The 14,660-nt window shown below is 40.8% G+C and overlaps 1 annotated feature.

Moving 5' to 3' along the window:
• Nucleotides 7,119-7,733: an enhancer, noted in NCBI's record as "OCT4-NANOG-H3K27ac-H3K4me1 hESC enhancer chr12:105486286-105486900 (GRCh37/hg19 assembly coordinates)". NCBI's record gives its function as "activates a minimal SCP1, AML or CMV promoter by ChIP-STARR-seq in naive H9 embryonic stem cells {active_cell/tissue: H9 hESC(naive)}" and the evidence as "EXISTENCE:reporter gene assay evidence [ECO:0000049][PMID:30033119]".

Here is a 14,660-nt window from a genome sequence, read left to right on the forward strand (position 1 = left end):
TGCCACTGAAAATAATGGCAAACCCGCAATTACTTTTGCATCAACCTAATAGATACGTGCCCTTCTCCCTCACCTCTCTGGAAAAAACGCTCAGACCTGCTTTAGCTGGACGTTTATCTCAAGCCAGACTTCTTAGCCCAGCATTCAGGGCCGTCTGCAATTTGCCATTTTCTCTTATTTCTCACTGCTCTTTTGCATATGTAATTCTGCTTGACTGCAGTTCTTGCCTATTCCTTCTTGGACAATGTTTCCCAGAAAAGCTTGTCATCTGTCACTTGTAATTATCTTGGCACGACCGTTTCTTTTCTGAAAGGTACCGCTTACATGCTGCCTCCTGGAGGCGCTTTTTTCTGATTCTTTTCTCTCTTAGTCTCCTTATTCCCCATAAATAATTGTTCACTCCTCTTAACAGGAAATAATCTTTGTCTATGCATCTGTTATGGCTGTCTCAATCTGCTACTGGTATTTGTATACCTATTAACGTCTCTGTTGGAAGCTCCTTGCAAGCTAAGTCCATGTCTGATTAATCAGGATTTACAGTATCTAGCACTAACCAGAGCTTTAAAAAAATAATAATAAAATAAAAAATAACTTGTTAAAAAAAAACTTGTTGAAACGGATGAATGTGTTTAAGAGAGTAAGGAGACAAAAAAGAACCATCATTAAAACTTGGAGAATTGCGGTTGGGCGCGGTGGCTCACGCCTGTAATCCCAGCACTTTGGGAGGCCGAGGTGGGCGGATCACGAGGTCAGGAGATCGAGACCATCCTAGCTAACACGGTGAAACCCTGTCTCTACTAAAAATACAAAAAATTAGCCGGGCGTGTGGCGGGCGCCTGTAGTCCCAGCTACTTGGGAGGCTGAGGCAGGAGAATGGCGTCAACCCAGGAGGCAGAGCTTTCAGTGAGCCGAGATCGCGCCCCTGCACTCCAGCCTGGGCGACAGAGGGAGACTCTGTTTCAAAAAAAAAAAAACTTGGAGAATTGCAACAAACATCCAAGGTTTTGCTTTGAGCCCTACATCTTGCCAATTCAACCCACTTTCCTGACTGCATTTTGTGACTTCTTGCTTTTTTAAACTTCCAAATATTGATATTCCCTTTATTTATTCTGATCTGTGTATACTAGAAGGGTGCATAAGGAGGGGTTTTTTTTTTTTTTTTTTTTTTTTCCTGAATGAGGTTCCATAGTTATATATTACTATTCCCAAGTTTAGGAAATGTAGAATTTATGTTCACTCAAATATAATGAAATATTCATTGTGTTTACTTTTTCCCTGGAAGAATCAAAAGTATAGTTTCCTTGATAACTGGAAATTAGATCAGATGCAATTAGAGTTTGACAAAGAGACCAACCCCTGCCAATCTATTTCTATACCCAGCAAAAATACTCCTTAAAAATAGAGATAAGACAAAGCCATTTTTAGAAACAAAAACTTGAGAGAATTTGTCATCGGCAGACAGACAATAAAGGAAATATGAAAGAGTATCCTTCCAGCAGGAAAAAAAAATTTACCCACATGGAAACCTAGAAATGCAAGAAGCCCAACAAAAAAGGCAAAGACGTGAGCAAATTTAAAGTGAACATTGGACTGGACGTGGTGGCTCACGCTTGTATTCCCAGCACTTTGGGAAGATGAGGTGGGCAGAGTTCGAGACCAGCCTGGGCAACATGGTGAAACACTGTTTCTACAAAAAAATACAAAAATTATACAAAAATTAGCCAGGCATGGTCACGTGCCTCTAGTCCCAGCTTCTCGGAAGGCTGAGTAAGGAGGATCGCTTGAGCTGGCAGATTGAGGTTTCAGTGAGCTGTGGTTGTGCCACTGCACTCCAGCTGGGTGACAGGGTGAGACCCTGTCTCAAGAAAAAAAAAAGTGAACATTGACCACATGAACAATAATAAATTATTATAATTAATATAATAAAGTATTATGTTTATATATGTATACATGAAAATACACAAATATCCAAACAACAATAGAAAATTGTTGGATAAGTTTGTAGGAAAGAAAATAATCCCAGATGGAAACTCACAGATGAAAGAATGAATAGTAATGTAAAGGATTAATATGAGGGCAAATTTAAGTTAATATTAATTGTATAGAACAATAATAATAATGTTTTATGGAGTTCAAATATATATATGCATGTGCATAGACTATTTAATTCACTTTGTGCCATTTTTGTAAATACAATCATTTGAATAACTTTTTGTAAGTGTCTGGATTAATTTCACGCTTTAGAAAGTACATAGATGATGTGCCAAGTTGAAACCCAAGAATTCCCACACAAAACTCTATGAAAGTTAGAGTTCTATGTAAAGCTTGCATAGTAGGAGTGGCTAGGGTCTTGGGTTTACAGAATACTAAATTGGAATCTTTTTTATTTTTTATTTTTTGGAATTGGTGTCCCTGGAATGCAGTGGTGGGATCACAGCTCACTGCAGCCTTGACCTTCCCTGGCTCAGGTGGTCCTTCTACATCAGCCTCCTGGGTAGCTGGAATTCCAGGCACACACCACCATGCTCGGCTAATTTTTTTTGTATTTTTTTGTAGAGAAGGGGTTTTGCCATGTTGCCCAGCCTGGTCTCGAATTTCTGGCCTCAAGTGATCTGCCCACCTCCACCTCCCAAAGTGCTAGTATTACAGGCGTGAGCCACTGCACTTGGCCCTAAATTGGAATCTACTCATTCTGCCATAGACAAATGTTTTGTTTAGTGACTAATATCTGTGACATTAGGGGCCTTGTGCAAATATAATACGTTGATCAGGGATCTGTTTTGTCCTAGACACAACGTTCACTCAGAATTTTATGAAATTGCAAGTCATATAATTTATAAACTTCTAAAAATGTGTGTAGAACATTTTTACTTCCACAGTCAACTTCAAGGATTTTAGAACAAAATTCTATGGGTTTCCATGCCCTCTTCTTGTTTGGTTGCTTTTTGACTGAAATTAACATGTAGCCATATTGACTATTTGGAAACATTGCTGTTTCTCTCTATATTTTTAAATTTTGCTCTGCTGAATACTCTGTTTTACCATATATAAGAGTGATGTGAGCTAGGCTAGTGACTCACGACTGTAATCCCAGTGACTTGGGAAGCTCAGGCAGGAGGATCGCTTGAGGCCAAGAGTTCAAGACCAGCCTGGGCAATGTAAGGAGACCCCCATCGCTAAAACAACAACAACAACAACAACAACAATTAGCCGGGCATGGTGGCATGCACCTGTAGTCCGAGCTACTTGGGAGGCTGAAGTAGGAAGATCACTTGGGCCCAAGAGTTTGAGGGCACAGTGAGTTATGATTGCACCACTGCACTCCAGCCGAGTGACAGAGCAGAGACCCTGACTTTAAAAAAAAAAAAAAAAAAAGAGATGTTTTCTTTATAAATTTCTCTCTCTCTCTCTTTGAGACAGGGTCTTGCTCTGTCATCCAGACTGGCATACAGTGGCACAAACAAGGCTCACTGTGGCCTCAATCTCATGGGCTCAAGTGATCCTTCTGCCTCAACCTCCTGAGTAGCTGGGACCACAGGTATGCACCATCACACGTAATTTTTTTTAAAAAATTTGAGGCTGGGTGCGGTGGCTCACACCTGTAATCCCAGCACTTTGGAAGGCCGAGGTAAGAGGAACACCTGAGGTCACGAGTTTGAGACCAGCCTGACCAACATGGAGAAACCCCGTCTCTAATAAAAATACAAAATTAGCCAGGTGTGGTGGTACATGCCTGTAATCCCATCTACTCAGGAGGCTGAGGCAGGAGAATCACTTGAACCCAGGAGACGGAAGTTGTGATGAGCCGAGACAGCGCAACTGCACTCCAGCAACAAGGTCTCACTATGTTGCCCAGGCTGGTCTTGAACTCCTGGGCTCAAACCATCCTCCCGCCTCGGCCTCTGAAAGTGTTGGGATTACAGGTGTAAGCCACTGAGTCTGGCCTAAATCTCACTTTTTTTAAGCACTCTTGACCTTGTATTAAACAATTTTTAATTAAAACAATTATTAATGCTTAATTATTGTTTAAGCAAAAATAATTTTATGATAAAAACAAACACTTGAGAGCACCAGCCCAGCAATGTGTAACAGGAAGAACTGAATTCTGGTAAACAATTTTAATGATGAATTAAGTGAATTAAACTTGATACAAATATATTATGTAATATAAATACTGTATGGAATTTGCCCCTGGTAAATAATTAGGTCTTTTACTTCTGTAATTGTCACTTTAATATTCATTTCCTTTTTTTCCTGTGGTTAATCTCATTAAATAAATGAATTTTAATAAAGTTTTCTTGGGACAAATTTACAAGGATGCATCATAACAATGAGGATCAAGAGCCTAAAATAAACTTTTTAAAGTTTTTCCTCATCTTTCACTTGCAGAAAGCCTCCCACCTTTTGAACCAGGCATCCCTTTGGATCTTGTTTGCATCAGTATAAGCACTACCCTGTGACCCAAAATTATAGTGGCAACCTTGAGCATATTCACTGACAGATCTTCAGCTGTGGGGTGAAAACTGATGGCTTCAGCTGCTGTGCTCCTTGCATCCAGCTCTGCATACACATTGAGTCTATGCTTCTCATGGGTGCTGCCAAGCAGTGACTGGGAGTGGCAGAAATGCTATGGTAGGTCATTTCGGGGAAGACGCAGATCACTTCTGACAGGGTGACTCCTCACTGGCCTGTTGAACTTTCTTTGACTTTCATAGCAGTCTAAACCTCTTCTTTAGCCTGCTTTCCTTCACAAAAGGTCAGACCTGCACTGTGGCCTGATAGTTCTCCCAACCTCCCCTCCCAGCCTCCTCACTTCCCCTCACCGCTGTTTTCCACTAATAAATCCCTTGCATGTCTAATTTCATGTTGGCATTTTAGGAAACCTGTAATAATGTTATAGGAGTTATTAAGAAATTATTTTAGGCAGATAGAGAGGAAAAGGGGTCCTTGGAAAGTTTTTGTCTCTTTTAAAGCAGCTCCAGAAAAGGAAAGCCCCAGCTCTTAGAGCCAGGCCGGCAAACTTTGATATGCAAATGCAAGCCATTAGAAACCAGGTCCACCCAAACATGGCAATTCCCACCTTTGCCCTCTTGCCCTTGCCCCCACATGTGCCTGGCAACATGGCCGCCCCCACATATCCCCACGTGTGTAGAACATCATGGTGCCCTGTATTTGCATATTAAAAGGCTAGGGTGGGAGGACCAGTTTTTTTTCACAGGTTATGTGAGTGACATGCCTGCTCAAACCAATTCCCTGAGCCCTATACAAATCAGGTACCACCTCCTCCAGCCTCCTCATATAAGCAGTTACATTTCCACGGCACTCAGGGTTTCCTCTCACGGCTTTGGAGCGCCCCCCTCCCTCTGTCTCTGTTCAGGGGAGGTTCTTCTTTCTTCTCCCTTCTTTCTTGCCTATTAAAGTCTCCACTCCTTAAAACTACTCCACGTGTGTCCGTGTCGTTTTATCCAATTCGGCGTGAGACAAGAGCCCTGGTGTTCTTCACTCATCAGAGCCATATTAATGTATATCATGAGAAACATCCACGAAACCAAAAGTTGGTTCTTTGAAAAGGCTTATAAAATTGGTACACATTTGGTGAGATTAATAAAGAAAAAATAAAGAGAAATAACAAATATCAACAACAGAGAATTGGACAGTAGTACAGATCACATAGACATTAAAAACATAAAAAGAGGCTGGGTGCAGTGGCTCACATCTGTAATCTCAGCACTTTGGGAAGCTGAGGTGGGAGGCTTTCCTGAAGCTAGGAGTTTGACACCAGCCTGGGCAACATAGAGAGACCTGGTATCTATTAATTTTTTTTTTTAATTAGCCAAGTGTCACGGCACACACCTGCAGTCATATCTACTTGGGAGGCTGAGTTGGGAGGATTGCTTGAGCCCAGAAGTTACAGTGAGCCATGATCATGCTGCTGCACTCTAGCCTGGGCAGCAAAGGGAGACCCTGTCATTAAAAAAAAAAAAAAAAAAAAAAAAGCATAAGAGACTTCTCTTTCAGCTATGACAAAGTCCTTTGCAGCAGATTAATACTCATATGAAGAACAACTAGTACATCTAGCTAAAATTTTTTGGCATATCTACTTGAAGGCATCAGAAAGCTGAAATGGCAGTCAAGACTCTACGTACCGATGTCCCAGAGGAAAAAGCAGCTCACTAAGTTGAATCCAATATTTTGCATTCTGCTTTCCTCTTCAGCATTTACAAATGCTTGGTTTGGGGTGAGAAGCCAGGCATAAAGAAGATGCTAGAGACACCAGCAGTTTTCAGCAATCTAACGGGATGGAGAAGATAAAAACTGGAGTTTGAGCTGCCAGGAATTTAGGAGCCAAGATCTTGGAGATAAGAGATGTAGAAGTGTACTCAGTTCATGATAACTGTTTTTAGCTAGAAGTACTTGCTGATTCTAGAGGTGCATGGGATTAGAGGCTATTAAACCAAGCAGAAATGACCGAAAAGCACAGCAGAGTTTTCTGTACCATGAAATTGGAATTCAGCATCTGCCAAGAAGGAAGAAGTCCAGTAAACACCACAAGCTCTCAGCTGATACTCTTCAATGACATTACCCTAGGAAAGGGTGCAAACTAGAGATAGTACAACTATTGTAAGACTGCAGCCTAGCCTCACATGCTCTCAGCCCTGATTGGAATGAGCTGATCTGCCTGACTTTAGTTGCCTGCCAAAGAATAGGATCAATCCTGTCTGGAGAAAAATAACATCATCCAGAAAGCCTGCAATTGTTCATTCACTCTCCTGCATTCAATTATAACTGACCAGGTAATACAGGAGTTATTAAGAAATAATTCTTAGGCAACTAGAAAGGGTGAAAGTTCTCAGTGGAATTTTCCTTTAATAAAAAGCGGCCCCAAGCCACTTCTTCTTTAACAGAAAGCAGCCTGAGAAGCTTTTATATGTAAATGTCGGCAGCTGTACCTGAAACCCGGGTACATTCAATATGGGGTCTCCCGCCCTCTTTTCCTTATGACCGCCTTTGCTGGCATTAAAGCAGCCTTCAGGTAAAACCACGTATACAGGTATGATGGCTGCCGCCAGGAGGAGGCTGCATTTGCATAAAAAAAGACTAGGATGGGAGGGACAGTCTTTTCGCTGGCTACGTAAATGACACACCTGGTCAAACCAATCTCCTGTGCCCGATGTAAATCAATCACCGCCTCCTCAAGCCTCCGTACAAAACAGATTGCGTTCTGCCCCAAACTGGAGTCCCTTTGGGGCAATCCGCTTTCTCAGCATGAGGAAGCCTTTTTTCTCTCTCTTCTTGTCTATTAAACTTTCCGCTCCTAAACCCACTCCTTGTGTGTGTCCATGTTTTGAATTCTTTCTCGGCTGTGACAAAGAACCAGGGGATATACTCCAGACAATGGAGCCATTTCACCGGGACATCAAGAAAAATGAGCAAAAGAAATAAACAGTGCCACATGAACAGTGCTAAACTAGGTAGAAATAACCACTCTCATTTTCATGTTATCACCAGTAATCTGTGCAATAATGCGATAATATGTTGCTCCATGCCTGACTCCACCAAGCTGTGTGTCAAATTTAAGGACAATTGTTCACTAAGTAATGTTTGAGCATTTGTCATGTGCTGGGCACTGTAGTAGATGCTAGATGTAGAGAGATGAACAAGGCAGATGCTTTGTCATGATGTGAGCCTGAAGCTGCCGAGGAATACCATAGGAACCTAAAGAATGTAGCCCAAACTGTAGAAGACACAGAAAAGAAACAGTAAAAATCCAAACAGTGATGGCTGGGCGCAGTAGCTCATGCCTGTAAACCCAGCACTTTGGGAGGCCGAGGCGGGCGGATCACCTGAGGTCGGGAGTTTGAGATCAGCCTGACCAACGTGGAGAAACCCCGTCTCTACTAAAAATACAAAATTAGCCAGGCATGGTGGCACACGCCTGTAATCCCAGCTACTAGGGAGGCTGAGGCAGGAGAATCGCTTGAACCTGGGAGGCGGAGGTTGCGATGAGCTGAGATCACGCCATTGCACTCAGGCCTGGGCAACAAGAGCGAAACTCCCTATCAAAAAAAAAATTAATAAAATAAAAATAAAAAAATAATAAAAAAAATTCAAACAGTGGGCATCATTTGAATTCTGAAGCCAGATGCACACAAAGGCCAACCCCACACTAGATGTTTTAAAATTGACATTCAGTAAAAATGACTTTACTGTTGGTATACAATTCTATGAGTATTAACACATGTATATACTTGTGTAGGGAATACCACAGTCAAAATATCAATAGTTGCATTACTCACCTTCTGAAAAAAGTCCTTGCCCTATCCCTTTGTTGTGATATCCATTAACCACCTCTTTGCCCTGATAAACACTGATATGTTCTCTATGACTGTAGTTTGAATGTAGTTGTCAAATCAACGGAAACACAATAGTATGTAACTTTTAGAGCCTGGTTTCTTTCACTCAGCATGATGTCCATGAGATTTGTGCAAATATTTAGCGTTTTCCATGGAGTTTACGATGCTTCTGTTACTGATTTCTAATATAATTTCATGGTAGTGAGAGAATATAACTATATTTCAATCCCTTTAACTTTATTGGGATTTATTTTATGGCCTACCACAAGGCCTATCTTACTGAATAGTCCCTGTACTCTTGAAAAAAATGTGTATTTTGCTGTTGTTGGATGGAGTGTTTTGTAAACATCAATTAAGACATGTTGGTGAAAATATTGTTTAATTCTTCTATATACGTCTACATTCTGTCTACTTGTTATATCAAATACTGAAAGAGGAATGTTGAAGTCTCAAACTATAATTGTAAATTCATCTATTTTTTCTTCTTTCTATACTGTCAGAATTTGTTTCATATATTTTAAAGTTCTGTTATTGAGAGCATATATATTTAGGATTGTAATGTCTTCTTGATGAATTAATCACTTTGACATTGTGAAATGTCTCTATTTATTTGAGATAATATTCTTTGTTCCAAACTCTAATTTGTATGATGTTAATATGGCCACCAGCCACTTCAGCTTTTTTTTTTTTTTTTTTTTTTTTTTTTAGACGGAGTGCAATGGCAAGACCTCGGCTCACCACAACCTCTGCCTCCTGGGTTCAAGCGATTCTCCTGCCTCAGCCTCCCGAGTAGCTGGGATTGCAGGCATGCGCCACCATCCCTGGCTAATTTTGTATTTTTAGTAGAGATGGGGTTTCTCCATGTTGGTTAGGCTGGTCTCGAACTCCCGACCTCAGGTGATCCGCCCACCTTGGCCTCCCAAAGTGCTGGTATTACAGGTGTGACCCACCGCGCCTGGCCCTCCAGCTTTCTTATGATTAGAGTTATCATGGTATATCATTCCCTATCCCTTTGTTGCATAAAATCTGTGTCTTTATATTTAAAGCATATTGCTGGATCTTCTTTTTTCACCCAGTCTATCTCTGCATTCTTTTTTTATTTTGAATTTCTGTGGGTACATAGGTAGGTGTATGTATTTATGGGGTACACGAGATATTCTGATACAGAGATACAATGCATAATAATCACATCAGATGGCCAGGCACTGTGGTGCATGCCTGTAATCCCAGCTACTCCGGAGGCTGAGGCAGGAGAATCACTTGAACCTGTGAGGCAGAGGTTGGGGTGAGCTGAGATCACGCCATTGCACTGCAGCTGGGGCAGCAAGAGCAAACTCCATTTCAAAATAATAATAATAATAAATAAATAATAATCACATCAGGGTAAATGGGGTATCCATCACCTCAAGCATTTATTCTTTGTATAGTTGGATTGTTTGTATCCAACTATACTCTCTTAGTTATTTTTATTGGTAGAACTGTGATGATGACCCCGAGCCACAAAATTGGCAAGTTTTTATCAGGGATTTTAAAAGGGGAGGGGGTGTATGAACAGGGAGTAGGTCACAAGGATCACATGCTTCAAAGGGCAATAAGATCACAAGGCAAAGGCAAAATTAGAATTACTGATGAGGGTCTATGTCCTGCTGTGCATGTATTGTCTTGATAAACATCTTAACAGGAAACAGGGTTCGAGAGCAGAGAACTGGTCTGACTAGAATTTGCCAGGCTGGAATTTCCCAATGCTTTATGCCTCAGTAAGCCTGAGGGTACTGCAGGACACCAGGGTGTATTTCAGTCCTTATTGAACGACACTCCCAGAGCGGCCGTTTATAGACCTCCCCCCAGGAATGCATTCCTTCCCCACCGTATCAATTATTAATATTCCTTGCTGGGAAAAGAATTCAGTGATATCTCTCCTACTCACATGTCTGTTTATAGGCTCTCTGCAAGAAGAAAAATATGGCTCTATTCTGCCCAACCCCACAGGCAGTCAGAACCTTATGGTTGTCTTCCCTTGTTCCCTTAAAATTGCTGTTATTCTGTTCTTTTTCAGGGTGCACTGATTTCATACTGTTCAAACACACATGTTTTACAATCAATTTGTACAATAGTGGTCCTGAGGTGATGCACATTCTCAGCTTATGAAGATAATGGGATTAAGAGATTAAAGACAGACATAAGAAATTATAAGAGTATTATTAGGAAAGTGATAAATGTCCATGAAATCTTCACAATTTATGTTCAGAGATTGCAGTAAAGACAGGCATAAGAAATTATAAAACTATTAATTCTAATACTTTTATAGTATTAGAACTAATAAATGTCCATGAAATCTTTACAATTTATGTTCTTCTGCCTTGGCTCCAGCCGGTCCCTCCGTTTGGGGTCCCTGACTTCCCGCAACAGTTTTTAGCCATCTTAACATGATGTGAGTATGGTGTGTGTGTGTGTGTGTGTGTGTGTGTGTGTGTGTGTCTTGCTTGGGGTTATTGAGAGTTTAAGATATATAAGTTTATTATTTGCTTCATATGTGCCAACATTTTGGTCATTGTTTCTTAAACATTTTCCTGTCCTTCCTTTTCTGGGTCCTCAACTATATGTACATTATAGCACTTGATATTGTCCCAAAGTTATCTGAGATTTTCTTAATTTCTTTCTTTTTTTTCTCTCTCTTGAGTTTAGATTGTTCCTATTGGTATTTCTTCACATTTATTGACAGTTTCTTCCTTGTGCCTACTCTGCTATTAATCTCATTCCATAAATCTTTCATTATCATTTCTAAAAGTTTTGTTTGGCTCTTTTTTTTTTTGGCTCTTTTTTATATCTTACATTTCTTTCCTCATTGTGTTCATATTTACTTTTCTTTTTTGAGATGGAGTCTTGCTCTCTTGCCCAGACTGGAGTGTAATGGCACGATCTCGGCTCACAGCAACCTCTATCTCCCAGGTTAAGTGATTCTCCCTCCTTAGCCTCCTGAATAGCTGGGGTTACAGGCACCTGCCATCGTGCCCAGCTAATTTTTGTATTTTTGTAGACATGGGGTTTCACCATGTTGGCCAGGCTGGTCTTGAACTCCTGACCTCAGCTGATCGGTCTGCCTCGGCCTCCCAAAGCATTGGGATTACAGGTGTGAGCCACCATACTCAGCCCATGTTTTCCTTTAAGAACTAAAACAGGCTGGGCACAGTGGCTCACATCTAAAACTCCAGCATTTTGGGAGGCAGAGGCAGGCAGATCACTTGAAGCCAGGGGTTCAAGACCAGCCTGGCCATCATAGCAAAACCCTGTCTCTACTAAAAGTACAAAAAAAATAGCTGGGTGCAGTGGCATGCACCTGTAATACTAACTACTCAGGAGGCTGAGGCAGGAGAATCGCTTGAGCCTGGGAGATGGAGGTTGCAGTGAGCTGAGATTGCACCCACTGCACTCCAGACTGGGCAACAGAGTGAGACTCTGTCTCAAAAAAAGAAAAAAAATTAAAACATAATTTTATCTTATTTTATTTTTTTCAGTTAAAACTTTTTATATTTTAATAGCTTTTGGGGTACAAGTGGTTTTTGGTTACATGGATGAGTTGTATGGTGGTGAAGTCTGAGATTTTACTGCACCTGTCTCCCTAGTAGTATATGTTGTATCCAATATATAGTTTTTATATCTCCCCACTCTCCCCCTTCTGAGTCTCCATAGTTCATTATATCACTTTGTGCATATATGGCCTTTGTGCATCCATAGCTTAGCTCTTGCTTATAAGTGAGAACATAAGATATTGGGTTTTCCATTCCTGAGCTATTTCACTTAGAATAATGGCCTCCAGCTCCATCCAAGTTGCTGCAAAAGACATATTTAGTTCTTTTTATGGCTGAGTCATATTCCATGGTGTATGTATATCACATTTTCTTTATTCACTCATTGGTCGATGGGCACTTAGGTTGGTTCCATGTCTTTGCAATTGTGAATTGTGCTGCAACAAACACATGCGTGCAGATGACTTTTTAACATAACTTATTTTCCTTTGGGCAGATACCCAGGAATGAGATTGCTGAATCGAATGGTAGATCTACTTTTAGTTTTTTAGGAAATCTCCATACTGTTTTCCATAGAGGTTGTACTAATTTACATTCCCACCAGCAGTGTATAAGCATTCCCTTTTCTCCACATCCACACCACCATCTGTTGTTTTTTGACTTTTTAATAATGGCCATTCTTGTAGGAGTAAGGTGGTATCTTATTGTCGTTTTAATTTGCATTTCCCTGATCAGTGATGTTGAGCATTTTTCACGTTTGTTGGCCATTCATATATCTTCTTTTGAGAAATGTCTGTTCATGTCATTTGACCATTTTTTTGATAGGATTATTTGCTTTTTCTCGCTGCTCTGTTTGAGTTCCTTGTAGATTCTGGATATTAGTCCTTTGTCAGATGCATAGTTTGCAAATATTTTTTCCCATTCAGCAGATTTTCTGTAAAACATGATTTTAATGCTGTTTTCACATTTTCATCTGCAAATTTCACCATTCCCATTATTTCTCCTCCCTCCCTCCCTCTCTCTCTCCCTTTCTTTCTTTCCTTCTTTCTTTCTTTCTTCCTCTGAGACAGGGTCTCACTCTGTCATCCAGGCTGGAGCGCAGTGGTGCAATCTTGGCTCACTGGAGCCTTGACCTCCTGGGCTCCAGTTCCCATCTCAGTCTCCCCAGTAGCTGAGACTACAGGAACATGCCATCATTCCCAGCTAATTTTTGTATTTTTTGTAGGGACAGCATTTCGCCATGTTGCCCTGGCTGGTTCGAACACCTGAGCTCAAGCAATCTGCCCACCTTGGCCTCTCAAAGTGCTGGGATTACAGAAGTGAGCCACCATGCCTGGCCATTCCTATCCTTTCTATGTCTATTACATGATTTTCCACTTGGTTATAGATCACATTCTCTTGCTTCTTTGTATGTCTCATAATTTTTAATTGGATATTTGAGTCTTACACTGTTGAGTGCCTAGATTTTGTTATCTTCTTATAAAGCTTTTGGTTAAAACTGTACATTGTATGTAACATATTGTGGCCACTCTGGATTCTATTTTTTTCTTCAGATAATTATTTGACTGGCATTTTTTGTTGTTTGTTTCTTTGAGCCAAGTTCTTTCTCTGTCACCCAGGCTAGAGTGCAGTGGCAGGAGCATGGCTCACTGCAGCTTTGACCTCCTGGATTGAAGCAATTCTCCTGCCTCAGTCTTCTATGTAGCTAGGATCACAGGTGCATACCACCACACCTGGCTACCTGGCTAATTTTTAAAATTTTTTTGTAGAGACGGGGTCTCATTTTGTTGCCCAGTCTGGTCTTTGACTCCTGGGCTCAAGTGATCTTCCCACCTCTGCTCCCAAAGTGCTGAGATTACTGGTGTGAACCACCATGCCTGTTTGACTATTTGTTTTTAAATGAAGTAAACTTGCCCTGACTCCCTGTCTCCTTAGTAGAGTGAAGCAGTTTATATTCTGCTTCGTTCTTAGTTTAGTGAAGGATTTGGCCAGTGTTTATACTTAGATTGCGGGGGTTACACCCATCTGCAGTTGCCCTAATTATCAGTCTTTCCTTCTAAATTCTAAACTGCTTTGGCAGCTCTACTTCTATTCGCTGTTACCTCAAATAAGTCTTCAGCTTTCTGCTACCCAAGGTGTACCTCTGTTGGGAAATATATGCATTCAAAAGAGCAGCAAACTCATACACTTCACTGAGTGCAGTTCTGCTTTTCAGGGACTCCTGTTATTTCATCAGGCTGTCTGTATTTTAGTGGTCAGTCAGTGATTTGGGCAGAGTTTACACCCAGATTTTGGATCTCACACATTTTGTAGGTCACTCCCCAAACTGATGACCTCTTCTAACAAACCCTGTACTCAGTTTGCTGACAGTTTGAGCAAGTAAGCCTGCAGTGCTGAGCTTCAGTGGTGAGGGACACCATCAGACAAAAAGCCACAAACTCATAATTCTTATCAGTTGCTGAACAAATTCTCCTGTGGTTTTTACCTGCTTTTATTGTTTTAGATTTTTAAAAAGTCATTTTTAGATATTTTGGCCACTTTTCTTAGTTATTAACTGTAGATGGGTTCACTTGACCACTTTATGCTACCTCCATTATTAGAAGTGTCCTTATCAATTATTTTGACATGAAGATTTTCAAAAATGTCTATGCTTTTAAAAGTAGACTATTTCAACCTACTTTACATAACTTATATAGCAAAACTTTTTTTTCGAGACAGAGTCTCGCTCTGTCCCCAGGCTGGAGTACAATGGCACAATCTTGACTCACTGCAACCTCCG

This window comes from Homo sapiens, chromosome 12 (genome assembly GCF_000001405.40).
Source record: "Homo sapiens chromosome 12, GRCh38.p14 Primary Assembly".
Taxonomy (NCBI): domain Eukaryota; kingdom Metazoa; phylum Chordata; class Mammalia; order Primates; family Hominidae; genus Homo; species Homo sapiens.